General features: G+C 44.1%; 1 protein-coding gene, 1 non-coding gene and 1 pseudogene across 3 annotated transcripts in view, besides 3 other annotated features; 1 reads left to right on the forward strand and 2 right to left on the reverse strand.

The window, feature by feature from the left end:
* The window catches only part of ERI1 (exoribonuclease 1), a 97,208-nt gene that overhangs the window by 53,399 nt on the left and 16,603 nt on the right, over positions 1–27,206 (forward strand). The gene's annotated exons all lie outside the window — the stretch shown is intronic.
* On the reverse strand, positions 2,244–2,335 carry SNORD3I (small nucleolar RNA, C/D box 3I). The gene has a single exon (NR_145772.1). It is a non-coding gene; the product is annotated as a small nucleolar RNA, C/D box 3I (small nucleolar RNA).
* Positions 4,269–4,814: an enhancer, noted in NCBI's record as "NANOG hESC enhancer chr8:8918074-8918619 (GRCh37/hg19 assembly coordinates)". NCBI's record gives its function as "activates a minimal SCP1, AML or CMV promoter by ChIP-STARR-seq in primed H9 embryonic stem cells {active_cell/tissue: H9 hESC(primed)}" and the evidence as "EXISTENCE:reporter gene assay evidence [ECO:0000049][PMID:30033119]".
* Positions 9,521–9,727: a silencer, noted in NCBI's record as "fragment chr8:8923326-8923532 (GRCh37/hg19 assembly coordinates)". NCBI's record gives its function as "represses an EF-1alpha promoter that drives an FKBP-Casp9 reporter gene in an ReSE screen in K562 erythroleukemia cells {active_cell/tissue: K562}" and the evidence as "EXISTENCE:reporter gene assay evidence [ECO:0000049][PMID:32094911]".
* RNU7-55P (RNA, U7 small nuclear 55 pseudogene) lies at positions 16,161–16,219 on the reverse strand (annotated as a pseudogene).
* Positions 21,400–21,900: an enhancer, noted in NCBI's record as "NANOG-H3K27ac hESC enhancer chr8:8935205-8935705 (GRCh37/hg19 assembly coordinates)". NCBI's record gives its function as "activates a minimal SCP1, AML or CMV promoter by ChIP-STARR-seq in primed H9 embryonic stem cells {active_cell/tissue: H9 hESC(primed)}" and the evidence as "EXISTENCE:reporter gene assay evidence [ECO:0000049][PMID:30033119]".

The following is a 27,206-nucleotide window of genomic DNA, read 5'->3' on the forward strand; positions in this document are numbered from 1 at the left end:
CTACCTCTGTTGTGATTTGACCTGCCTTTTCCCCTTATCTGTTGGGGTAAGGGGTTATACAGCATCATATTAGGACTTGCCCACGTTGTTAAACTATTAGTGAGTCCCTAAAACAGAATCGAGTTGATGAGCCGTGTATAGTTTGCTTAACCATGTTCTTATGGCCAGTCATGCAGGTTGTTTTCAAGTTTGGCTTTTATAAATGCATCTGTAAGTAAAATATTTGTCCAAAAAAGATGTTTCCACATTTAAGGTAAATTCCCACAAATGAATTCCTCAACATCTTAAGGCTTTTGGCCCATTTTCGAAATAACTTCGCGAAGGGCTCGGTTTTCTAAAGGGCAAAGTCTAAAGTGCATTTTTTTCGTTCCTTTGCCAGCACTATTATAGTTTTTAAAAACCTTTACCAATGTAGTAGCTGGAAAATTGTTGTATTGATTTGATAAATACTTCCCTGATTACTTTTGATGTAATCAAACACTTTTGATTACCCGTCAATTTTGACTATCCCATCAATTACGTGGGAACACTTTCCCCATGTAATTGTCTGTTTTTTGAGACAAAGTCTTGCTCTGTCACCCAGGCTGGAGTGCAGTGGCAAGATCTCGTCTCACTGTAATCTTTGTCATCTGGGTTCAAGTGATTCTTCTACCTCAGCCTCCCGAGTAGCTGGAACTACAGGCAGCACCACCATACCTGGTTAATTTTTGTGTTTTTTATAGAGGTGGGGTTTCAACACGTTGGCCAGGCTGATCTGAAACTCCTGACCTCAAGTGATCTGCCTGCCTCGGCCTCCAAAAGTGCTAGGATTACAGGCCTGAGCCACCACACCGGCCTGTTTTTTTGTTTTTTTGTTTTGTTTTGTTTGAGACAGGGACTCGCTCTGTCGCCCAGGCTGGAGTATGGTGGTGCAATCACTGCTCACTGCAGCCTTGACCTCCTGGGTTCAAGTGATCCTCCTGCCTCAGCCTCCCAAAGTTCTGGGATGACTGACGTGAGCCACTGTCCCTGGCTCCTGTGTACGTGTTAGCCACTAATTTTTTTCAGGTGCTTTGCCCAACTCTGGGCTGTGCTGCCTCACACAACTTGTAATTGCAGAATGAAACGCACTAGGGACTGGCAACAACTCCAATCGCCACCTAGATGACCCAGCACGTAGCTCACAGACCCAATCACTTTTGCGGTCCAAGTTTAGAAATCACAGTTGTTAACTAGTGTGTGGTTTGCAAAACAAGTGTTAGGCATCTAGTCATTTGCTGATTCATCACATATTTTTTATGGGCCCTTTATGAGCCAGACACTATTTTAGGCCTGGTGAAAAAGACAAAAATCCCTCTTTGTACGGACTGTACATTCTAGTGAGGAGAGGAAGAAAGTAAACATCCTTAAGTCTGTTGTCAAATAAATTAAAAGATGTTCATTGCTTTAGGAAAATGAGCATCAAGGGTAGGGGGTGGTTTGGAGAAAACTGGAGGGTGAAACCTGCTGCAGATGTAAAGTGTGGTCAGGACAGAGCCCAGCAAGGAGGTGAGAGAGCCTTGGGAGCTGCCTGGGGACACTGCGTCTGGCAGAGGCACCAACCATGGGGAAGAACAGTAGGAAACCAGGAAGGCCGAAACGGGGCAAGCAATCGGAGTAATAGGACTTGATGTCAGAGAAGTCCAGGGGGTGGATCTCATAGGGTCTTGGGGGCCGTTGCAAGCATTTGGGCTTTCCTAAGGGTGAGATGGGAGGACCAGAAAGTTTTCAGCCACAAGAGTGATGAGATCTGTCTGCCGTTTGAAAAGAGTAGCTGTGGCTGGCTGCTGCATTCAAAACAGACTGCAGGGGGTCAAAGGCAGGAGCTGGAGGAGAGGGCGGAGCAGACAGACTGCTGCAAATTACCCAGAGCCCTCACGTGGCCCTGGAGCTGGTGAGTGAAAAGATCCAGGAATCCGGCAGAGCTGATGGGATTTCCTGATGGAGTGAATGTGCGCTGAGAGAAAGGGTGGAGCCACGGGCAGTTTCTATTTAAGACCTCGTAGGTTGCTATGTGCCCCATGGTCCCTTAACTAATGTCTGAGCATTTCCAGAGTTAAACCAGGAACACATTTACTCATGGGCCTAGCTCCTGGTATGAAGGGCATGATAACTAATCCCTGCCGTGAGAATTCAGAAGGGGCAATGGTTTTCTCCATGTTAATGAGGTGATGAATAAAAATGATAATGACATTGTGGCATTTGGTCCATTCTTTGATGATCTTCATGTATTCCTGTTTAACATTTTTTTCTCTACACGTTTAGAGGAACTTCTCTAGTAGCAAACTACAGAAATGATCCCTGAAAGTATCGTCTTCTGTTTAACTTGACTTAATTGAATTGGCATAGGTATTTCCTATCTTGGCAACCATGTGTGGATCTTATACAAGATTTATGCATGATGTCTTTGCTGTTGTTGTTAGAACAACTCAGCAAAATAAAATTCCATTTCATCGTTGGACAACATTGTTTCACACATCTGTGAAATAGGCCAAAAAAAATAAATAAATAAACAGCAACTTCATTGATAAATAAATAAATAAATAAATAAATAAATCTTTTATCTTTGGCCTTTTTAACCGTCTCATACAAACCAACTTTCATGCGCGTCCGTGTGAAGAGACCACCAAACAGGCTTTGTGTGAGCAATAAGGCTGTTTATTTCACCTGGGTACAGGTGGGCTGAGTCCAAAAAGAGTCAGCGAAGGGAGATAGGGGTGGGGCCGTTTTATAGGATTTGGGTAGGTAAAGGAAAAAGCGGGGTTGTTCTCTGGCGGGCAGGAGTGGGGGTCATAAGGTGCTCAGTAGGGGAGCTTCTGAGCCAGGATGAGCCAGGAGAAGGAATTTCACAAGACAATGTCATCAGTTTAGGCAGGAACAGGCCATTTTCACTTGTTTTGTGGTGGAATGTCATCAGTTAAGGCAGGAAGCGGCCATCTGGATGTGTACATGCAGGTCACAGGGGATATGATGGCTTAGCTTGGGCTCAGAGGCCTGACATTCCTGTCTTCTTATATTAATAAGAAAAATAAAATGAAATAGTGGTAAAGTGTTGGGGTGGCGAAAATTTTTGGGGGTGGTTTGGAGAGATAACGGGCGATGTTTCTCAGGGCTGCTTCGAGCAGGATTAGGGGCAGCGTGGGAATCTAGAATGGGAGAGAGAAGCTGAAGGAAGATTTTGTGGAAAGGGGTGATATTGTGGGGTTGTTAGAAGAAACATTTGTCTTATAGAATTATTGATGATGGCCTAGATACAATTTTGTATGAAGTGAAAAAAGAAGGGAATAAGACAAGGAGAAAAACAGGTATTAAAGGACTAAGAATTGGGAGGACCTAGGACATCTACCTAGAGAGTGCCTAAGGAGGTTCAGCATAGCCTTGCCAGCAAAGATTATTTATTTACTTTAAGAGTTAAGAGTGGCGGTTTGGGGATAGCACCAGGCGATATCAGCTGCGATGGCTTGGAGAAACAGTGTGAACCGGCAGTGTAAACAAGAGCAGGGCATGTATGAGTAGTTGAGAATGGTGAATAGGAGTATGACTAGACAGAAGATAGTAGGGATGACAAGTTTTCTGGGGCACAGTCCAAGTTGGTCTGGTGTCTGGAATGAGACTGGGGCTTAATAAAAAGGAGCGTCCATACAGGAGCTCAAATGGGCTGTACCCTGTAGCATTCCGAGGACAGGCCTGAATTCTGAGAAGGGAAAGTGGTAAAAGTATTGTCCAGTCCTTTTTAAGTTGGAGGCTGAGCTTGGTAAGATGTGTCTTTAAAAGACCATTAGTCCGTTCTACCTTTCCTGAATATTGAGGATGGTAAGGGGTACGAAGTTTCCACTGAATACCAAGAGCCTGAGAAACTGCTTGGGTGATTTGACTAATAAAGGCTGGTCTGTTATTGGACTGTATAGAGGTGGGAAGGCCAAACCGAGGAATTATGTCTGACAGAAGGGAAGAAATGACCGCGGTGGCCTTCTCAGACCCTGTGAGAAAGACCTCTACCCATCCAGTGAAAGTGTCTACCCAGACTAAGAGATATTTTAGTTTTCTGACTTGGGGCATGTTGAGTAAAGCCAATTTGCCAATCCTGGTGGGGGGCGGGGGCAAATCTCCAAGCTTGATGTGTAGCGAAGGGAGGGGGCCGGAACAATCCCTGAGGGGCAGTAGAATAGCAGATGGAACACTGAGAAGTGATCTCCTTGAGGATAGATTTCCATGATGGAAAGGAAATGAGAGGTTCTAAGAGACGGGCTAGCGGCTTGTAACCTACATGGAAGAGGTTATGAAATGACCACAGAATAGAATGGGCCTGTGAGGCTGGAAGGAGATATTTTCCTTGGTCTAAGAACCATTTGCCTTGTGTGGGAAGAGATTGATAGGTGGAAGTTTCAGCGGGGGAGTAGGTGGGAGTGAACGATGTGAAGGAGAGAAACTGGCCGTGAAGGACAGAAGTTGGAAAGCTAGCTGCTTGTCTAGCCACCTTATCAGCATAAGCATTGTCTAGAGCAACGGGATCTGATGCGTTTTGATGCCCCTTGCAGTGAATGACCCCAGCTTCTTTTGGAAGTAAAGCGGCCTTAAGCAGAGTTTTTATTAAAGAGGCATTAATGATGGAGGACGCTTGCGTAGTGAGGAAACCTCTTTCAGCCTGTATAACAGCATGGTGGTGCAGAATATGAAAGGCATATTTAGAGTCAGTATAAATATTGACGCGTAGTCCTTTTGCAAGAGCGAGGGCTTGAGTTAAGGCAACTAATTCGGTTTGTTCAGAGGTAATGGAGGGGAGCGGAGCGGTAGCCTCAGTGATAGATGTGGAAGATACTATAGCATAGCCTGCCTTTGCTGATGAGTGGCGATTAGGCCTGCTGGAACTGCCATCAATAAACTAAATGTGATCGGGGTGAGGAGCAGGAAGGAAGGAAATATGGGGAAATGGGGTGAATGTCAGGTGGATCAGCCAGATACAGTTATGAGGGTCAGATGTGGTATCCAGAATAATGTGGGAGGCCAGATTGAAGTCCGGGCCAGGAACAATGGTAATTGTGGGAGACTCAACAAAGAGTGAGTACAGCTGAAGGACCCGGGGAGCAGAAAGTATATGCATCAGGTGTGAGGCAGAAAATAGACTTGGGAAGTTATGAGAGGTGTAGAAAGTGAGTTGACCATAGTTTGTGATTTTAAAGGTCTCTGAAAGTATTAGGGCAGTGGCGGCCGCTGCACGCAGACATGAGGGCTAGGCTAAAACAGTAAGGTCAAGTTGTTTGGACAGAAAGGCTACACAGTGCTGTCCCAGCTCTTTTGTAAGAATTCTGACCGCACTAACCATGCCTGGGAAGGAAAGGAGTTGTTGTTTTGTAAGGGATTGAGGTTTGGGAGATTAGCCAGACATGATCAGCAGGGAGAGCATGTGTGTTTTTATGAGAATTATGCCGAGATAGGTAACAGATGAGGAAGACATTTGGGCTTGACTGAAGTAATGGGTGCTGTCCGTGAAGTTTTGCAGCAGTATAGCCCAGGTAATTTGCTGAGCCTGATGGGTGTCAGGGTCAGTCCAAGGGAAAGCGAAGAGAGGCTGGGATGAAGGGTGCAAAGGAATAGTAAAGAAAGCATGTTTGAGATCCAGAACAGAATAATGGATTGTGGAGGGAGGCATTGAGGATAGGAGAGTATATGGTTTTGGCACCACGGGGTGGATAGGCAAAACAATTTGGTTGATAAGGCACAGTCTTGAACTAACCTGTAAACTTTGTCTGGTTTTAGGACAGGTGAAATGGGGGAATTGTAAGGGGAGTTTATAGGCTTTAAAAGGCCATGTTGTAGCAGGTGAGGGAAAACAGGCTTTAATCTTTTTAAAGCGTGCTGTGGGACAGGATATTGGCATTGAGTGGGTAAGGGTGATTAAGTTTTAATGAGATTGTAAGGGGTGCATGATCAGTCGCCAAGGAGGGAGTAGAGGTATCTTATACTTGTGGGTTAAGGTGCGGGGATACGAGAGGAGAATGCGAAGGAGGCTTTGAACTGGGGAAAAGGGCAGCAATGAGGTGTGGCTGTAGTCCAGGAACAGTCAGGGAAGCAGATAATTTAGTTAAAATGTCTTGGCCTAATAAGGGAACCGGGCAGGTGGGGATAACTAAAAAAGAGTGCAAAAAAGAATGTTTTCTAAGTTGGCACCAGAGTTGGGGAGTTTTAAGAGGTTTAGAAGCCTGGCTGTCAATACTTACAACAGTTATGGAGGCAAGGGAAACAGGCCCTTGAAAAGAAGGTAATGTGGAGTGGGTAGCCTTCGTATTGATTAAGAAGGGGACGGACTTAACCTCCACTGTGAGAGTTAATCAGAGTATCTGTGATGGTCCTGTAGGCTTCCGAGGCAATCCGGCAGTGTCAGTCTACAGCCGCTAAGCTGAGAAGATCTGGGAAGGAGTCAGTCAGAGAGCCTTGGGCCAGAGTTCCAGGGGCTCTGGGAGTGGCTGCCAGGTGAGTTGAACAGTCTGATTTTCAGTGGGGTCTCGCTCAGATGGGACGTGGCTTAGGAGGAATCCCGGGCTGTGGGCATTCCTTGGCCCAGTGGCCAGATTTCTGGCACTTGTAGCAAGCTCCTGGGGGAGGAGGTTCTGGAGGAACCCCTGGCAGCTGCGGTTCAGGTGTTTGGAGTTCTTGTGTGCTGGAGATGTGGCTGGGGTTTGTCTCACAGTGGAGGCAAGGAATTGCAACTCAGAAATATGTTGCTACTTGGCTGCCTCTACTTTATTATTGTACACCTTGAAGGCCAGGTTAATTAAGTCCTGTTGTGGGGTTTGAGGGACGGAATTTAATTTTTGGAGCTTTATTTAATGTCGGCAGCAGATTGGGTAATAAAATAAATGTATATTGAGAATAAGACGGCCTTTTGACCTTTTAGGGTCTAGGGCTGTAAAGCGTCTCAGAGTTGCTGCTAAAGGGGCCATGAACTGGGCTGGGTTTTTTATATTTGATGAAAAAGAGCCTAAACACTAACTGATTTGGGAGAGGTCAGATAAAGAAAAAGCATTAACCTTGACTATGCCTTTAGCTCCAGCCACCTTTTTAAGAGGAAATTGCTGGGCAGGTGGGGGAGGGCTAGTCATGGAATGAAACTGTAAGCCAGACCGGGTGTGAGGAGGGGAGGTGATAAAAGGATTATAGGGTGGAGGAGCGGAGGCTGAGGAAGAATCGGGACCTAGCTCGGCCTGGCAAGGAGGGGAGAGGTCAGATGGGTCTGTAGAAAAGGAAGATTAGAAAGACTCAGCGATGCTTGGGGTTGGGACTGAGGGGACAGGCGGGAGGGAAAGAAGGAAGATTTGGGATGAGTTGCATGGGGAACAGAGACTAGGGAGGGTCCAATGTGTAAAAGAATGCCTGGACATCGGGCATCTCAGACCATTTGCCCATTTTACAACAAGAATTATTTAGATCTTGTAGGATGGAAAAATTGAAAGTGCCGTTTTCTGGCTATTTGGAACCACTGTAGAGTTTATACTGGGGTCAAGTGGCATTGCAGAAGAAAATAAGGCATTTAGGTTTTAGGTCAGGTGTAAGTTGAAGAGGTTTTAAGTTCTTGAGAACACAGGCTAAGGGAGAAGAAGGGGGAATGGAGGGTGGAAGGTTGCCCATAGTGAAGGAGGCAAGCCCAGAGAAAAGAGAGAGTAGAGACACGGAGGGAAGGGGTTCAGGGGTTCTTACCCTCCAGAAAAGCAGGAAAGGGGTTGGGGTGTGTAAATAAGGGGTTGGGGCACAGAGATAAGAGGTTGGAGTGTGGAAATAAGGGGTCAGGGTGCAGAGATAAGAGGTCGGGGCATGGAAATAAGGGATTGGGGCACAGAGATAAGAGATCGGGGCATGGAAATAAGGGATCGGGGGGTTCTTGCCCCCTAGAGAAGCGATACTTGCCGCTAAGGGTGAAGGAGAAGGGGGGTTGGGGGGGTTTCTTGCCCCCCAGAAAAGCAGAGAAGGGGTGGAGACATGGAGAGAAGGAGTTGGGGGGTTCTTGCACCCCAGAAAAGCGGTACTTGCCGCTAAGGGTGAGGGACAAAGGCAGGCGTCCTTGAGTGGTCAGACACCTCTGAAACATGGGTGAATTATCAGAGAGGCGTCCCTACAATGATTAAACACCAAGGGAAGGCTGCCTTCCCTAGTCCGTGACTGGCACCGGAGTTTTGGGTCCACGGATAAAACGTGTCTCCTTTGTCTCTACCAGAAAATGAAAGGAATTGAAATTAAGAGAAGTGAGAGATTGAAGGGTGGTGCAAAGATTGAAAGGAGAAAGTGGTTGAGGGATAGTGAGAGAGGTTGGAGAAGAGAGTAAGAAGAGGCTGCTTACCCAATTTAAAATTGGTGAGTTGTTCCTTGGGCTGGTGGGTCTGAGGACCTGAGGTCCTAGGTGGATCTTTTTCACGGACCAAAGAGCAGGAGGACAGGGGATTGATCTCCCAAGGGAGGTCCCTTGATCCGAGTCATGGCACCAAATTTCATGCGCATCCATGTGAAGAGACCACCAAACAGGCTTTGTGTGAGCAACAGGGCTGTTTATTTCACCTGGGTGCAAGCGGGCTGAGTCCGAGAAGAGAGTCAGCGAAGGGAGACAGGGGTGGGGCTGTTTTATAGGATTTGGGTAAGTAAAGGAAAAAGCGGGGTTGTTCTCTGGCAGGAAGGAGTGGGGGTCACAAGGTGCTCAGTAGGGGAGCTTTTGAGCCAGGATGAGCCAGGAGAAGGAATTTCACAAGATAATGTCATCAGTTAAGGCAGGAACAGGCCATTTTCACTTCTTTTGTGGTGGAATGTCATTAGTTAAGGCAGGAACCGGCCATCTGGATGTGTACGTGCAGGCCACAGGGGATATGATGGCTTAGCTTGGGCTCAGAGGCCTGACACCAACTATCTATAGTACAGCTAAGTGCATGTACAAAAAAAGTTACTGGAATGCTCAGAATAAGATTGTTTAGTTGTTTTTGCTTCTTTCTACGAGGTTTCTTTTGTTCTTTGAGGTGATGATGAACTTGGTCACACCACAAGTAAAGTCAGAAGTAAGGCAGAGGATGCTCAGTAGGCTGGTTTGATCACCTGAGATCATTAAAAATGGCTGACTGCCAGCTGGGCGCAGTGGCTCACACCTGTAATCCCAGCACTTTGGGAGGCTGAGGCAGGCAGATCACGAGGTCAGGAGATCGAGACCATCTTGGCTAACGTGGTGAAACGCCGTCTCTACTAAAAATACAAAAAATTAGCCAGGCGTAGTGGGGGGCGCCTGTAGTCCCAGCTACTCGGGAGGCTGAGGCAGGAAAATGGCATGAACCCGGGAGGCGGAGCTTGCAGTGAGCTGAGATCGCAGCACTGCACTCCAGCCTGGGCAACAGAGCGAGACTCCATCTCAAAAAAAAAAAAAAAAAAAAGGCTGACTCCTGACAATACGTGCAAAAATATAAAAGGAAACTAAAAAATACTAACAAATCTCCTTTTAAAATTACTTAAAAAAATAAAAATAAAAAGCAGGGCCTTGGAAGTTTTGATTCCTTTTTCCTCTCCTGTTGCAAACTCATGTTGTGGTTTTGGGTGGGTGGTGGAGAGTGTGTCACCAGCAGGTGGCGCTGTCGGCAGTGGCTGGGCCTCTCTCTCCAAGGTGACCATGTCTAGTTTATGAGAAGGGAAGTGGAGGGTGAATAGGTCACGGCCGCCTTTTTTTTCTTTGACTTTTCTGCTGCCTGGCTATCCTCCTCATCTTCTGCTTTGCGATATCAACACCACTATCTTCTCTATCTGCAGTGCCCTGTTTGCCACCAGGGGCTCTAGCTTCTTCATTCATCTCCACCCTCTTCCTTGCCTCCACCTTCTTCCTCCTCCTCTTCCTCCCCACCTTCTTCCTCTTCTTTGTCCTCCTTATCGTCAGCCTCATCTCCCCATTTTCTTCATTGGGGTTCCCACTAGCAGGGGCATCTCTTCCCCTTTCTCCACCTGCACAACTTGTTTCTTCTCCTTTAAGTGGTTGGTGGTCATCTCAGAGTTGGTGTCCACAGATGGATGTCTGTGACACAGCGGGCTCCCCGGTGATCCCATGTGTTGGATAAGAAGAAAGCAAGAGTTTGAGGACTCTGCCAATAAAATGGGGACAATGCAAAGATGGCTTTTCAGAGCGGCCAGTGGGCACCTGATGACTTTTGAACTCACCAACACTGGCAGTGATTTGATTTTGTGTTCACCTGGCCTTTGGGTTGTTGGGCACGGTGAAGGAGGGTGACAAATGACAGGCAGAAAGGAATCAGATGCATGATTTTGTGAAGATGTAGGACATTTTGTTATTCAAGGAATGTTCAGTTATGAGTGCCGGTCATTGTTTTTAAAGGAAGGGACATACTTAACATTTTAAGTATTCTATTTTCTTACCTGAAATTTAAAAGAAAGGAAGAAATAAGAGGTCTGGCAGCCCCCACTGCAGAGACTAAAATGTGACAGGCGGGTGAGTTGAGAGGGAAACAGCTGGCTGGTTTGTCTCTGTGGTGGCTTCTATTTTGGGAAAGTTGGTGATCGCCTTGCCTCACTGTTCTGATGTTCTCAGTGGCCTCAGCTGAGCTGCAGTGGAGTGAGGGGTGGAGGAAGCACGAACGGTGACAGTCGTTCCAGCTACCTTGCAATGTGGCAGATGGGAATAAACGCCCATGAACTGGGAGAAGATTTGACGGCTGCCTATTGCTGTGTAAACCTGGCCAAGGCATTTTACACTTCTAAGCCTCAGGAAAAAAGAAATCATTCTCATTGCCCTACCTATTTCTAAAAATCGCATGAGTCTCCAAAATTGCAAGTGATATGACATAAAATCGTTTTGGGAACACTAAAGACCTATACAAATATAAGCCCCCATTATTGATTTAGCTGCAGGGTACGTCATTCATACACATGAAGTATGTTATACTCAAAGACTGTATACACGTTCCTGTATCAGCCTGAAATCTGTATTAAGTTTTCTAGATATAAAGAGTCCATTATTTTATGACTGGAATTTTCCTGCTCTATGCACTTGTTTATTATAAAGGTCATGATGGGATTTCATTTTTAACCTGTGTGCATGTGTGTGTGTGTGTGTGTGTGTGTGTGTGTGTGTGTGCAATATCAATAGTAGAAGGGAAAAAAGAAAGGTGACCTAGCCTGGGCAACATAGAGAAACCCCATCTCTACAAAAGATGCAAAAATTAGCTGGGCATGGTGGCATACACCTATTGTCCTAGCTACTTAGGAGACTTAGGTGAGAGGATCGCTTGCACCCAGGACCTCCAGGCTGCAGTGAGCCAAGATCGCACCACTGCACTCCAGGCTGAGCAACAGAGTGAGAACCTTTCTAAAAAAAAAAAAAAAAAGGTGACAAGACCTTCCATAACATGGATAAGGCCTTACAGATGATCCAGTCCAATTTCCTCAAGTTTTAAAGAAGCTGGGTTCCACGGTATTAACTGAATGATTTCAAGATTACACAGCTAGTCTGAGCAGAACTGGGACAGGTCCCCAAGTCAACAAACTCCTGCCCCAGCAGGTTTTTTTACCTCCTTTTCCTTCTTTCACATTTTCTACAATTTTGCCATACATATGAGCACAGAGAGTTATGCTACAAATACACACACACACACACACACATATATGTATATACACACACAAATATTATATAACATTCTTTCCTCAACAGTCTCCTTCCCCCAAGCAAGAAGTTTCCACTAAACCTTGAACAATTTTGCTCAAAGCTTTATGGCTAAAAAAGTGGAGGAAGCAGAGAACATATATTTTCAGAGCAACATCTAATCCAGAATTGCTTTTCTCCTTAGCCCTTAATTAACTTCTTTTTAAATTCAAAAATTTTTTCAGATATATCTAAAATAGTATTATATACAATTGACCTGAGACTGTCTCAGATTTAAAGAAGCGTTTCTGGAAATCTCGCCCAACACCTTCCCTCGCACCTCATGTGGCTCTCCTGCCCTTGGGGAAAGTAGTTTGGGTTTCATAGTTTGCTTTTAGTAGAGGTTCTCTTTCTCTCTCTCTCCTTTTTGGAGACAGAGTCTCATTCTGTTGCCCAAGCTGCAGTGCAGTGGCAGCATCATAGCTCGCTGCAGGCCAGAACCTCTGGGCTCAAGTGATCCTCCTGCCTTGGCCTCCCTAGTAGCTAGAAGTACAGGTGTGTGCCATGACGCCTGGCTAGAGACTGTCTTATGAATGCTGAGTGGAGGCTGGATTGGTGGGAGCACTGGCCAATTGCCATAGGGGTCTTTATTGAGCACCAAGCAAAGCAACCTCCTCCCTCGCCTTTAGGGTCCTCATATCCATGCTTGCTTCTCTTCCTAGGATGCATTGTGTCTGAGTTTATCTTCTTTCTTTATCTGTGTACATATGTATTGTCTTACTCTCTCTTCATTAGAATGTAAGCTTCCTGAGAGCAGAGAGCTGGCTTGTGTTGTTCACCTGCGTACCTTGAGTGACCAGAGAGTGATTGGCACTGTTTTTAAATTTTTTAAATTTTATTATTGGTTTTTGAGACAGGGTCTCTTTCTGCCACCCAGGCTGGAGTACAGTGGTGCAGTCATGGCTGACTGCAGCGTTGACTCCCTAGGCTCAAGCAATCCTCTTGCCTCAGCCCTCCCTAGTAGCTGGGACTACAGGTGTGCACCACCATGCTTGGCTAATCTTTTTATTTTTTATAGAGATGAGGGCCGCGCTGTGTGGCCCAGGCTGGTCTCGAACTCCTGGGCTCAAGCCGTCCTCCCACCTCAGCCTCGCAAAGTGCTGGGATTACAGGCATGAGCCACCACATCGGCCATTTTAAATATTTATTAAAAGGACAAAAGGGTTGTGGGGTTAACGGTTTGAACATCTTGATCCATATTCTCAGATCACCTTCCCAAAAATGTCAGAATTCACAATCCCATTAGGAATGTCTAGGAGGATCTTTTCACTTGAATCCTCTCTGAAGCTGGGTATGATAGTTTTTAAAATCCTTGTTAATATGATAGGAAAAATTTTTAAAAGCACTTATGTTTTAATTTGCATTTCTTTGTTGCAATGTATTTTAGAAAGATTTTTATTCCAACAGATTTTTAAAAGGTGTGGTAACATTCCATTATGTCAGTACCTCCTTGGTAATCTTCCCTGACAATGCTGGATGGATCAAAGGGGACTGTATCACCCTCTCTTAGTTATGGGCATCAAACATGTTTGAAGGTATTTTGAGAAGTATAAACAAGTTATGCAATCAGAATGATTTCTTTTGCTCAAGATGAGAGTATAGAAGACAATGCTTTCACTCAAATAGCACTTGAAAATTACTCTAATGCTTGCCACCTAAGTGACAAGATCATTCGTATCTCAGCATCGTGCAATATACACATGTAACAAACCGGCACATGTACCCCCTGAATCTGGAATAAAAGTTGAAATTATTAAATAAATAGGTAAATAAAAAAAGTAAAGTATTACTTTACAAATGTGGCAACAGGAGGAATTATAGAGAAGGAAATGATTATACTATTGAACATATTATTTCCTCCCTGAGTATTTTAACTATTGTAAGTCAACAGAGGAATTTGCAGGTTTTAGAAAGTCGCTCCAGTCATTCTGATTATTGATTAGTTTTGCTTAATTTTAAATAGTCTATTATGGCTGGGTGGAGGTGGCTCATACCTGTAATCCCAGCACTTTGGGAGGCTGAGGTGGGCGGATCACCTGAGGTCAGGAGTTTGAGACTAGCCTGGTTAACATGGTGAAACCCTGCCTCTACTAAAAATACAAAAACTAGCTGGGCTTGGTGGCAGGCACCTGTAATCCCAGCTACTCTGGAGGCTGAGGCAGGAGAATCACTTGAACCTGGGAGGCAGAGGTTGCAGTGAGCTGAGATTGCACCACTGCACTCCAACCTGGGTGAGAGTGAGACGCTGTCTCAAAAAAAAAAACAAAACACCAAACCAAAACTAAAAAGACTATTAAAAAATAACAAAAATAAAAAAGAAATAACATATATGTCTAAAAATGGAGTAGTCTAAAGAAGCAGGGTGTGGTGGCTCCCACATATAATCCTAGCCCTTTGGGAGGCTGAGGCCAAAGGATGGCTTGAGCCCAGGAATTCAAGGCTGCAATGAGCTATGATCCCACCACTGAACTCCAGCCTGGGCAACAGAATAAGACCTTGTCTCAAGAAAAACAAAAAGGACTCTAAAGATACCTAGTTATATTTGGGATACATTGGCAGGTTCAGAACTACTAGTATGGAACAGAAAGGAAGAAATTGATTGACTCATTTCCCAACTACTTATTCACCCACGGAACATTCCTAATGAACACACACAGGAGTCATTGCTCATAAGGTTCAATTAGTCCACTTACGCAGTGGAGTCCATCCTTGCAAATGCACACAGAAAGAGAACATTTGGCGTCTGAAAGAATCTGGTTCAAGTCGCATGTCTGTGGATCAAAGTAAAAATTTAAAAATAATTTTTACTAAAGCTCCATGAACCACGTTTGTAACTTGGGGATGAATTAGTTTGAAATCTCCTTTTTCCTCAGCATTTTTGCAGCCCATGTGTGCAGGGCCGGGCAGGGAATCATGGTGGTGGCCCCAGGTGGCAGGGTTGGGAGCTGGGACAGAGACTTACAAGGGCACCCATGGCTGCCATCACTCTGTACCCCTGCGGAGACTGCAGAGTGAACGGGCTCTATCTTCTCTCCACCCATTTCTTCTGGCTGTTTTGGTCTGTTGATTTCCAGTTTCCCAAAGCAACATATCTTTCTTGGCCTGTTTGGAAAGAGAACTGTTGCTAAGATTATTGAACTCGCAAGGGAAAGTTCTTGTGTTTACAGCTGTCTAACGCGGGGCATTATTCTAAGCAGATGATTGCATTGTTATAGACAGACATCTACGAGGTCAGTTTTTCCTAACCACTGTAATAAATCTAATGATAACCAGTTAACTTGACAAAGCCATTTCTCAAAGCAGCTTCAGTGTTTGATAAATACTTTTCCTTTTCTGGAATTTCTATTCTAGTTATTACATTTGGGAGTAGAATGCACACCCATCACAAAATGCCTAGCCTTTAAGCTCCCACGGTGGAATTCAATATAATTAAAAGCAACAAGTATTTAAGTTTCTAGTAATGCCAGCTCTATGTGAAAAATTTGGGGAACATCCAAGAAATATAAGTCTTGTAAATGATGTCCTAATTACGAAAAGAAATAAAAACACCTTCTCCAGTTTTCCGTTTCCAGTTTATTCATCTGAGGAATGCTTTCTCCAGATAGGACGGGATAATTGACTCCTTTAACTTGGTAACCCATTCTACAGGGAAACGGGAGAAGTCCTCCCCTGTGGCTCACTCTATATGGCCGATGCCTTCCTTTAAAGAGTTCAAACTGTAGCACCTTCATCACACCTTTGGTTTTTGAGCTCCAACAGAGCAAGGTGATTCAACTTTGGAAATAGAATGACAGAGAGAGACTGGGTGCAGTGGCTCATGCCTGTAATCCCAGCATTTTGGGAGACCAAGGTGGGAGGACTGCTTGAATCCAGGAGTTCAAGACCAGCTTGAGCAACATAGTGAGACCTCGTCTCTACAAAAGACAAACAAAATTAGCAAGCGTGGTGGTGCGTGCCTGTAGTCCCGCCTATTTGGGAGGCTGAGGTGGGAGAATCATTTGAACCTGGGAGGTCGAGGCTGCAGTGAGTGGAGATTGCACCACTGCATTCCAGCCTGGGTGACAGAGCAAGACCCTGTCACACACGTACACACACGCAAAAATGACAGAGAGGCAGAATTCTCCTAAGTGGAAATGAAATACAGAATACCATGATTTAGTTTTCCTGTAGTTCTTTCCCTAACGTTTGACAATAGCTTTCCTTTTGGGTGATCAGTGTCCTTTGGTTTTACCTCATAGCCCTGTGAGGTTGCCGTGTTGAGTCTTGTTTTCATACCACATTGACGGTCCTTTCTAGTGGCCTGAAGGTTTTTGTTATTATTTTGAAAAGCTTTATTGATATATAATTCACATACCATACAGTTCACTCATTTGAAGTGGACATTTCAATATTTGGAAGCCTATTCACAGCATATGCGCAACCATTACCACAGCCAATTTTAGGATAATTTTTTCTTTCTGTTTTTTACTGTGGGGTTTTGCAGTGAAAACCAGAAAACCTGCTAGACAAATTCCAAAAGAGCTGTAACACGCGATTTCAGAACGTTTAATCACCTCAAGAAGAAACCTGAAGGATCCTTCCGTCGCCGCCTCTATCTCTGTCCCCTCCAGCCCTCAGAAACAACTAATCTATGTTCTTTCTTTAAAAAAAAAAAATCTTTGAAGCCTTCATAAATCAGCCCTTTGATTTAAATCTCCATCTCACTCCGCCACTATTTTTGATCAATTCTTCACCAGAGCTTCATCTTGACATGTGCTCTGCCACAGTGCTAAGGAACAGAGTGACCCCCCACCCCACTCCCGACAGAAGCAGCCCCAGAGAGAGAAGCAGAGGGTCAGGGTCAGGGTCAGCACCGAGTGTGCTCGGGTGAACTGCAAGTCTTGACTTAGTCTTGAGGACCTCCTCAGTCTTGCACCCCTTCCTTCAGCAACACCTGCCGGGATGCGTCTTTCGGCCTCCTCTGAAATACAAAAACATTTTGTGGTCTAGCTGCTCACTGTATTTTCACTCTGTGGTTTTCTTTAATTTACACCCCTCTTCTACTCTGCTGGCCTTCAGGATTTTTTTATTTTTATTCACCACACTCATCAGGGAACAAATGCATAATCCTTCATCTGGCTTCTGCTGTCAGTCAGTTTGAATCTTGGTTGCCTTCTCAGCCATAAACTTTATCACCTGGCCTCATGCCTTCGGCTTTGTCCTTGATTTTGGAAGCGCAGTGAATCAACATTATTTATCTTTGCAGAAGGCAGTATCTTAACCACCACATAGTAGCATTAATCTGTCACATCGTCCCGAACATGCAAGACACTATTTGTTATTGAAGAGGAGACTTCTTTATGGAAGGATATTGTCTACTCTTAGTAAAGTATCTCAACTTATGATCCCCAATACTTCCAAGAAGGGTAAGCGTGAGAGAAGATACAGTTGGGGGTGTCTGGGGGGAGGTTACCGATGGACAGGTTAGCAAATAGAGCATTGTAAAGGAGATCAGTGAAGTAAGATTTTCATAAAATAACAGGTAGAATTTTGGTGAGTTTTCCAGTTCAATTTTTAACCATTCCATATTCAAATATTGTTTTGAAGAGGCATTAACTCAGGCTTTAAAAAATGTTGCTGAATCAGTGTGCAGGAGGGAGAAAAATAATTTTAAAATGTCGCTGAAAAATTATATTCTTCTGGTATGAAATAATTATATGCTTCTGGTATGAAATAATTATATTCTTCTGATATTAGAAAGCCTCTTATTTCTTAAACAGGCTTAAACTATTTCAATTAATCTTTCTCTATGCAATCAGGACTCTAAGGACTGACATGAAACTACATAGAATCCAGTACACCTTCTGTTTAGGGTCTTTTACTTATTCACAACTAGCTTCTTAAAAAAGTCAAACCCTATAAAATACCTTATAAAAGACTAAGTAAACATTGTACTTTACAAAAATTTTATTATTTTTAAAATTTATTTTTTAATTTTTATCCTTACAGAGGAGGTCTTGCTATGTTGCCCAAACTGGTCTTGAACTCGCAGGCTCAAGCAATCTTCCTGCCTTGGCCTCCCAAAATGCTGGGATTACAGGTGTATAAGCCACCGCACCCAGCCATACTTTTTTGTGTGTGTTATTTTTTCGTTTTTGTTTTTTTGAGACATGGTCTTGCTCTGTTGCCCATACTGGAGTATGGTGGTGCAATCTCGGCTCACTGCAACCTCCGCCTCCCAGGTTCAAGTGATTCTCCTGCCTCAGCTTCCCGAGTAGCCTGGATTACAGGCACCCGCCACCATGCCTGGCTAATTTTTTTTTTTTCAGTAGAGACAGAGTTTCACCATGTTGGCCAGGCTGGACTTGAACTCCTGACCTTGAACTCCTGACCTCAAGTGATCTGCCCTCCTCAGCCTCCCAAAATGCTGGGATTACAGGCATGAACCACTGCACCTGATCCATATTTTTAAATTTAAATTTAAGTTTTTATTTTTGAGACAAGGTCTTGCTCTGTCACCCAGGCTGGAGTGCAGTGGCAAGAACATGGCTCACTGCAGCCTTGACCTCCTGGGCTCAAGCAATTCTCTGGCCTCAGTCTCCTGAGTAGCTGAGACTACAGGTATATACTATTATGCCCAGCTAATTTTTTGTAGAGCTGAGGTCTCACTTTGTTGCCCAGGCTGGTCTCAAACTCCTGGACTCAAGTGATCCTCCCGTCTTGGGCTTCCAAAGTTGCTGGGGTTACAGGCGTGAGCCACTGCGCCCAGCCAGTACTTTATATTTATTGTGCCTGCATTTATATGGGAACTTCCTGTCATATTTCCTTTTTAAAAATTTCTAAATTCCTAAAACCTTAATTAATAGAGCACATCGTCCTCTTAGGTTGTGAGTCCTTCTAAGGGAAAAGCAGTATCTCCTGGTGTGGTCTGGTGTGGTCTTAATCTTCAGTGTCACAAGAGCAAGCCTGCCCCCACCAGCGCCACAGTGAGGTGACACAGAAGAGCGCCGGGCACCACGTGTTTACTTGCATTCCTCTGGTCCCGTGGAAGCCCATTATTCCTTTCCTGAATCGTATCTGAGCCAAAGGCCCTATATGGCCAAGATTCCCTGTTCGGTGATGAAATGCCAGCACATGACATTCTTTCTAATGAGTCACAGTCAATAAAAAATGTTTTCTAAATGAATCTGACTATGTCTCCACACCAAGCAACACAGAAGAAAAGTCTTATCAAACCAAAACATCTTATCAGCTGAGCCCAGACAGACCTTTCAGTTTTGCAAGCAAGGTGAAATGCGTTCCCACACAAAGCGAAAACCCAGTCTCTCCTTAGTTTTCCTTGGATACATGTGTTATATACTATGAGGAAATGAGGGAGACATGTATTGGGAAATATTTTCAGGGTTTGGAGACTGATGAGAGATTACCGAGGAGTTTGTGTACAATAATAAGAACACAGCTAAAGACATTCACTTTTGAGAGCCTCCATGTAAACATTAGGTTAATATCACATGCTGAACATGCCTTTTTTTTTTTTGCAATGCTTTATTTTCATTATGAACACGGTCTTTACATGGAATAGCACTGACCCTATTATTAGAAGTGGAAATCTATTAGCCATGCATTTTGTTGTTGTTGTTGCTTCTAAAGAGACTTACAGGGGGCTTAGGAAAGCCACAAAGAATCCCCACGGTGTGCACACATCAACCACAGACAGGTTAACCCTTCAGGCTCAGGGAAAATGAACATGAACTGAAGAAATAAAATGTAATGATCACCCAGAGGTTAACTATTAGGTTTACTATTACAGTGAAAGGGAAAAATAATCTTAAAAAATTTTTTATTTATTATTTTTTATAGAGACAAGGTCTTGCCATATGCCCAGGCTGGTTTTGAACTCTTGGGCTCAAGCCATCCTCCTGCCTCAGCCTCTCAAAGTGTTGCGATTACAGGGGTAAGTCACTGCACTTGGCTTTTTTTTGGAGACAGGGTCTCATTGTGTCACCCAGGCTGGAGTGCAGTGGCACAATCATGCAATCATGGCTCACTGCAGCCTCAATCTCCTGGGTCCAAGTGATCCTCCTGCCTCAGCCTCCCAAGTAGCTTGGGACTATGAGTGTATTCCTCCATGCCCAGCTAATTTTTGCTGCTGTTGTTGTTTTGTAGAGACGAGGGCTCACTTATTGCCCAAGCTGGTCTCAAACCCCTGGGCTCAAGTGGTCCTCCTACCTCGGCCTCCCAAAGTGTTGGGATTACAGGTGTGAGCCACTGTGCCCAGCCAGAAAAAAGAAAATCTGAAGGAAAAAATACAAGCAAGCCATGTATACACAGTTTTGTCCCCTAAAACTACGGTACAGAAGAGAGGGTATAAATTACAGGACTGGCATCCATAAAATTCCCTAAAGGAAAGATATACAACATCTAGGGTTCATCTGTAAGTCAAAGCAAACCCAAGTCAGAATGAGATGAAGGATTTAAATATGACCAAGGTGCCAACATGTAAATGATACCATAGACAAGTGAGAACTCATCTGGGCCTTGAACTTGACTTTCTCTCAAGTACTCCCAATAAAGTTACCCAGTAAGGAAAAGAGGTGGGTGGGGGATTAAGTTCTTATTGGCCCATCAAGAGTTTGTTTCTTTAAATTATCCATTGCCTTTGGTAATACCATGTGCTTCTCTTTCTGTGGGAGAAACTACATAATATCCAGAGAAGGGTAACTAGAATGGTGGAAAAGCCACTTCAGTGAGAAATGGCTGAAAAACTGGGCATATTTAACAAGAAGAGAAATCTGAATGAGGACAGGAGGGCTGCCAAGAATCTTTAGGGGGAAGCGGGGATGTGTGTTCTCCTGCAGTGCTGCAGAAGGCAGGGCTAGGACCACAGGAGAGCTGCCCCACCTTTGAAGGAGCTCTCTGGGGCAGAGTTGATGATTTAGAAGATAGAGATTTATTATAAGGCCACACCAGTGGAAGGTGAGGACATGGGAATAAAACCAAAGGTGAGGTAGAGATAGCTGTTAAAGAATGTGGACTTCACAGCTTTCGCTGCCTCCATGCTCTTCCCCTTCCAATGTACCTCATACGCATGCCAGTGTTACTTATCTGCTGGTCAGAATGTTTATTAGCTACCCATTACCTACTGAAGTATGCTGAAACTCCTTTTCCTGGTATTCAAAGCTTTCTGTGGTTTTACACTTCTTTTCCAGCCATATCATCAGATTAATAATTTTCTCATGTTCTCCAGTTCTTAAATGTGACATGCATTTCCCTGCCACATTCCTTCCCTGCTTAATTCCCTGCCTGTTGAAAACCTTCAGGGCCCACCAAAAATTCCACCTGTTTCATGAAACCTATGTAGAGGCAAAGGGAACTTTCCTTTTACCTTCTGAAGGTTCAATAATTTGAGTCCCTGGAAGAAACTGACAATAGACAGGTTAACAGGAGAAAAGGCATACAAATTTATCATGTGCCTATGTGCACAGGAGCCGCACAAACTGTGACTCAGAGGAGGACCAGCTGACTGACGCTTTTATACCCCACAGAAAAAAAATAGGGGCTGGGGGCTCCTGGAGGGTGGTGGTGATGAGATGTGGGAGACAGAGGGGCAGAAATGCACTGTGAACAAAGGCTGCTTTATCTGCTTATAATGCAGAGAAAGTGTCTCAGGCAGCAGACCTCAGAGGAATACATTGGTAGCCTATGGTAAAAGTCTCTCTGAGCAAGAGGTCAGACCTTTAGTCTATTTTCCTGAGTTAAGCTTCCCTGGCTGATGATTGCATTCCTCTGGAGGAACTCCCCTTTAGTCAGATAAGAGAGGACTAGAGAAAGCTCTTCTCTGCGTTTGCCCCTCCGCAGGTACTCTCTGTTTGAGGTCCAAAGCAGCATATTTGGGGAATTTTTTTCTGATCCCCAACACCAACCCCATCCAACCTTTCTTTCTGCCAGGGGAATGCGCTGCTTTCTTCCTGTGTTCCCAGAATACTCTCATGGTCTTGGTGACACTGATCCAGCCTATCTTTTTTTCTTTTTTCTTTTTCTTTTGAGACAGAGTCTCGCTTTGTCAGCCAGGCTGGAATGCAGTGGAGTGATCTCGGCTCACTGCAACCTCCACCTCCTGGGTTCAAGTGATTCTCCCGCCTCAGCCTCCCGAGTAGCTGGGACGACATGCGTGCGCCACCACGCCTGGCTAATTTTTGTATTTTTAGTAGAGACAAGGTTTCACCATGTTGGTCAGGCTGGTCCTGAACTGCTGACCTCAAGCAATCCACCCACTTTGGCCTTCCAAAATGCTGGGAATACAAGTGTGAGCCACCACACCTGCCCTACCGCCCTGTGTTTTTTCTAATTAGGTATCTGTATAGCACTTTTTTTTTTTTAGCTCATACAGTATTTTTACAAACACAAGTATTACCTCCCTGGGAGAGTAGTATTCCCATTTCACAGATAACTCAGGTTTTGAGAGTTTAAGCGACTTAACCATAACCATAGAGCTAATACTTGGTAAGGTTGGAATTCAAACTCAAGTTTTTTAACCCAAAGTGCAGACTCTGCTTCCCCTCACACTGTTGTGAGGGTGTTTTTTAAGTCTAATCAATATGACAGAGATTTTCAAATTCTGAAGTGCTACCCAGATCAAAAGAGGGTTTTATCCATTAGACTGCAGCCTTGTGGAAGCCAGAGACCAAGTCATTTTCATCTGTGCATATAAATGCATATTCTCAGGTCCACCCAGACCTGCTGAATCAGTGACTCCAGGGTGGGGTCCAGCAGACTTTGTTACAACAAAGCCTTCCAGGTATCTGCTGCATGCTCAAAGTCAGAGAACCAAAACTGTAAGAGAAGATTATCTTTTTTCTCTTCTTTTGTTTTTGTGGGGCCCTTGTCCTACAGAGACTACAGGGGCATTATGGGATCATTAACAAGTACACAAACCTCAATTCTCAGAGGAGAGAATCGCTACTAGTGCTGAGTGAGCAAAGATTTTATCAGGATAAAAAAAATGTAAAGACTAACCTGGCAAGATTATGAGCTCTAAGGGGTGTTGTCTTACCTGGAAGGCAGGTGTCAAGTGAAGCTTTGAGTGGAGAAGGCAAGAAGACAGGATGTTGAAAGGAAAATTCTTTATGGGTGTCAGAAAAACTCATAGGGAGGGGAAAAAAGATTTATTAGGGAATTTTAATATGAGAAAGAAATGACACTTTTGTAAAAAAGGCTATTTACTGAAAATTGCTGACAGCAGGCCTTTGGTAAAAGGGTGGAACAATGGGGAGGAATAGCAGATGTTGAGAGCAGAAGATGAAGCACTGAAGGCAAGGGTAAGCCCTGATCTCCGGAGAAGAGCTTTGAGTTCCTGTGAGCATTTGATTCCGGAAAACACTAACATGAGTTCAGCTATAGACCGTTTTCATTTTCCCTAAACAAATGCATTGTTCTAAAGAAGAAAACAAATACATGTGAAGGGTTCCTGGTTTCTTGAAGCTATTTTAAATAATGCAAAAATGTTGGTTGTGACTCTCATTTAAAATGTGTCCAGAATGGGCTAGCAAAAAAGAGGAGCTTGCTAAAGTTCAAATGACTGTGTCGATCTAAAAGAAAGAAGCTGAGGCCTAAAATATAACTGGAATAGTTTAGCCGAAGTGAGGACAGCTGCTGGGAAGACTCAGCCCCAGGTAGCCTTGGATATGAATTCCATTCGATCTTTGTTACGAGCAGGTTTGTTTGTTTTTTGAGACAGGGTCTCACTGTCATCCAGGCTGGAGTGCAGTGGATCACGGCTCACTGCAGCCTTGACCTCCCCAGGCTCAGATGATCCTCCCACCTCAGCCTCTAGAGGAGCTAAGACTATAGGTGCACACCACCAGGCCTGGGTAATTTTTGTATTTTTTGTAGACACGAGGTTTTGCCATGTTGCCCAGGCTGGTCTTGAACACCTAGGCTCCAGCAGTCCTCCAGCCTTGGCCTCCCAAAGTGCTGTGATTACAGGTGTAAGCCACTATGCTTGGCCCACAAGCAGGTTTTTAAAGACAAAAAAAAAAAAAAAAAAGTTTGAGTGACAGGGAGTAGGCTGATACAAAGTTGTTTGTCAGGAGCTGGCTTACAGGAATAACACTGATTAGTGATTGGCTGTACATTGTTAGGCTATAGGGTGTGGTTATAGTGTTTGATGTGGCATTATTAGGTTATTTTACAGCGACTTGTGGTAATAGAAAGCAGTTTTAAGAGGGGAGTAGGACGTGATTGCTGTCTCATTTTAATGTCTCCCTGGGCCTGATAATTTAAGAGGACTTGCATTCCTCAGATCAAAGTCCATTTATTTTCTCAACTGTATAACCCAAGTAGCCTGACTAGATGTGCCCTGCTAGTGTCTAGGAGCCTCTGTTGTCCATGTTCATGTGATGTCCTGACAGGATGGCTTGTGATGAGTCTGCCCTCTGAGTGACAGTGACATTTCTCCTTGCAGCCTGGCAGTAAGAACCAGTTAGCAGACAGAGACGTGAACAGCACACATGCTAGGCTGCCTAGAGGAGATGAGGCAGAGAGGCCCTGACACTTCTCCAGTTCCTGAGGCCACACTGCACACCTTTGTGAAGTGCAGCACCCCTGCCCTGATTTTCCTGCAGGTTTTCACAAGGTTCACGTTCACCCGTTCCACCTTGCTATTGCCTTATTCCCCATTGTCTCTTGTTTTCTAGACGTGTCTTTGGGTTCTAGCAGCACAGAGCTCTGAGTGTGGAATCGTCACCAGTGTGGACCTTGGCCACTTCTTCATTTGCCCCTCCCCCAAGGCACCACTCTCTCGGCTCCTGCAGGAACAAGCATTTAGTGCAGATATCAGCTAAATGGGGGGTGGAGGGCAGCGGTGCAAAGAATGGGGCAGACAGCACAGCCCAGAATTGGCTACTACTTAAGATTTAATGCTATACTGAAATGTTCACTGACAAAATATGCTATCTGGATTTATTAGTCCAGTCTCACACTGCTATAAGGATACTACTTGAGACTGGGTAATTTATAAACAAAAAAGGTTTAATTGACTCACAGTTCCTCATGGCTGGGGAGGCCTCAGGAAACTTAACAATCATGGTGGAAGGTGAAGGGGAAGCAAGGCACGTCTTACATGGCAGCAGGTGAGAGAGAAAGCAGGGACAACTGTCATTTATAAAGACCATCAGATCTCTTGAGAACCCACTTACTATCATGAGAACAGCCTGAAGGAAACCACCCATGTGATCCAATCACCTCCCACCAGGACCCTCTGTTGACACATGGGGATTACAATTTGTGATGAGATTTGGGTGGGGACACAGAGCCAAACAATATCACTGGAGATTCTTTCAAGATAATTAATGGGAGAAAGGTGAGTGAGTGGGGCATTTTAGATGAAACAAGATTGGCTGTGCATTAATAATTGTTGAAGCTGCCAAGGGTGCATTGAGGTTCTTTATACTAGTCTGGTTACTTTTGTACATACTTGAAATTTCCCACAATAAATTATTATTTTTTTAAAGTGGATGCTGGAATCCCTCAGGCATTGCCAGCTCAGCCATTTTCTCTCCGGCCATCCTTCCCCTGATATGTTCCCTGGGATCCCTCTTCCCCTCTGCTACCCATTTCTTCACTCTCTTTCTTTCTATGGCTCTCAGAATTCTTGTCTTCCCTACCTAAAGGGAACACTTAAAACAACTCCCATTTCTTCCTTTCCTCTTCTTCTTCTTTTGTTTTTGTTTTTTTTTGGTTTTTGTTTGTTTGTTTGTTTGTTTGTTTTAAGGAGCAGGGAGTTTAATAGGCAAGAAAGAAGGGGGAAGAAAGAAAGAAGCTCCCCTGTACAGAGACAAAGGGAGGGGTGCTCCAAAGCCAAGAGAGGGAACCCCCACAACTCCCATTTCTTATGAAAAATAAGCAATTTAATTATTCTATGTCTAGACTTCTCATTAGCCTGCACTGGAAGACCAAATAAACCCATTAATATTGTTTTTCTGAGCAAAAGTTGTTCTCTCTGTATGAAGAATTCTGCCTTCATCTTAGTCCATCTGGACCCTGCAGCCAACTTTTAAAGTCACTGTGTCCCCCCACCCCATTAGAACTCTTAATATTTGTTTAACCTCAGAGTAGAATGGAAAGCATGAATGGCAGATATTTCTTACGACTCCAGGAAGTGAAGTTTAGTCTCTTTCTAGAACCTTCCATCAGGTGAGGTCCACTATGAGCCTGGTTTAGAGGGGAAGGAGAATGGAGACCCTCACAATGTCCTAAGACTCTTGTTTTCTTTGTTTTTCTTGTTTTCCTCTTACTCCTTTTACCAGAACTTCTGGCAAGTAACATGTTGACTCATGGTGTTTTATCACTTCCTTCCTCTGGCTCACGTCCAGTAGACATGCTAATGAGTTGCCAAGTCACCAGTAGGCAGGAAAAGACAGAAGGGCTTCTCTGCCATGGAAACCTGATCATCTGGTGTTAATATTCTGAAAATGACATTCACAAAATGAGAGTTAAGCTGGATGAGAAGGTATCTCCTGCTTTCTGGCATGAAATCATTCTTCCTTTGTTTCCTTTGAAGTCCATATCTGTGTAAAAGATGCAACAGCAGGAATGATCTGTACTTCTTGGGGGTCTTAATCTCTGCTGTGTTGAAAGGATATTGAAAGAAATGGATGAGGACCTACATCTGGGCTCCTCATCTTAGAAAGTAGGCACCTGCTTGGGAACACTTAGGCAAATGGATTCTCTCCTTCCCCATTTCCCTTCAGGGGCCAGAAGGTCGGACAGAAAGTCCACCCTTGAACCTATCTAACGTCTAGGAGAAAGTCTTTCTAGAAACATAGAGAAAGTGAATGATGAGATGCCCGAAGAGTCATAATAGCAAGAGTCCGGTCTAGTCAGTTCAGGGTGAACTAAGACATGGAATGCATTGGAGAAAAGTGGGGATGATGGAATATCCTAAATTTTGTAAGTCATAAAAGTAGGGTTACCAGATAAAATATGGAATATCTACCTTAGTGTGAACTTCAGGTAAACAACAAATAAATTTTTAACATAGGCATTTCCTCAATATTGCATGGGACATAAGTATACTAAAAAAATGTATTTGCTATTTATCTGAAATTTAATTTTAACTGGGGCCCTGCATTTTTTATTTGCTGATAACCCTAGAAAAGCCCAGCCAAACAGAGCTTTTATCGCTCCATTGAATGTAACAAGTGGTCACTGTGCATTTGTCAGGGGGAAGCAAAGTCAATGACTGTGGCAATAATCCCTTATCTTGATCTACTTTCAGTGAAAAATATTACTTCTTTTATTCCTTTTGGAATGTTGCTAAAACAATGGCTGTGCTCTGACGGTAACTTCCATCCAAAGATCTCTTATTACATGGTATCTGCCCCCTAAAGAAAGCATACCGTAACAAGAGAAAGCATACCATCTAGGGGTCAAAAATTGATGTTTATCTCCATTCTTTTTCTTTCTGCTTTCGATGCCTTATAAACTTTTATCTCTTTATTAAGGAAAAATTTAAACATATACCAAAGAAGAGAGAACA

This window comes from Homo sapiens, chromosome 8, assembly GCF_000001405.40.
Source record: "Homo sapiens chromosome 8, GRCh38.p14 Primary Assembly".
In the NCBI taxonomy this organism is placed as follows: Eukaryota; Metazoa; Chordata; class Mammalia; order Primates; family Hominidae; genus Homo; species Homo sapiens.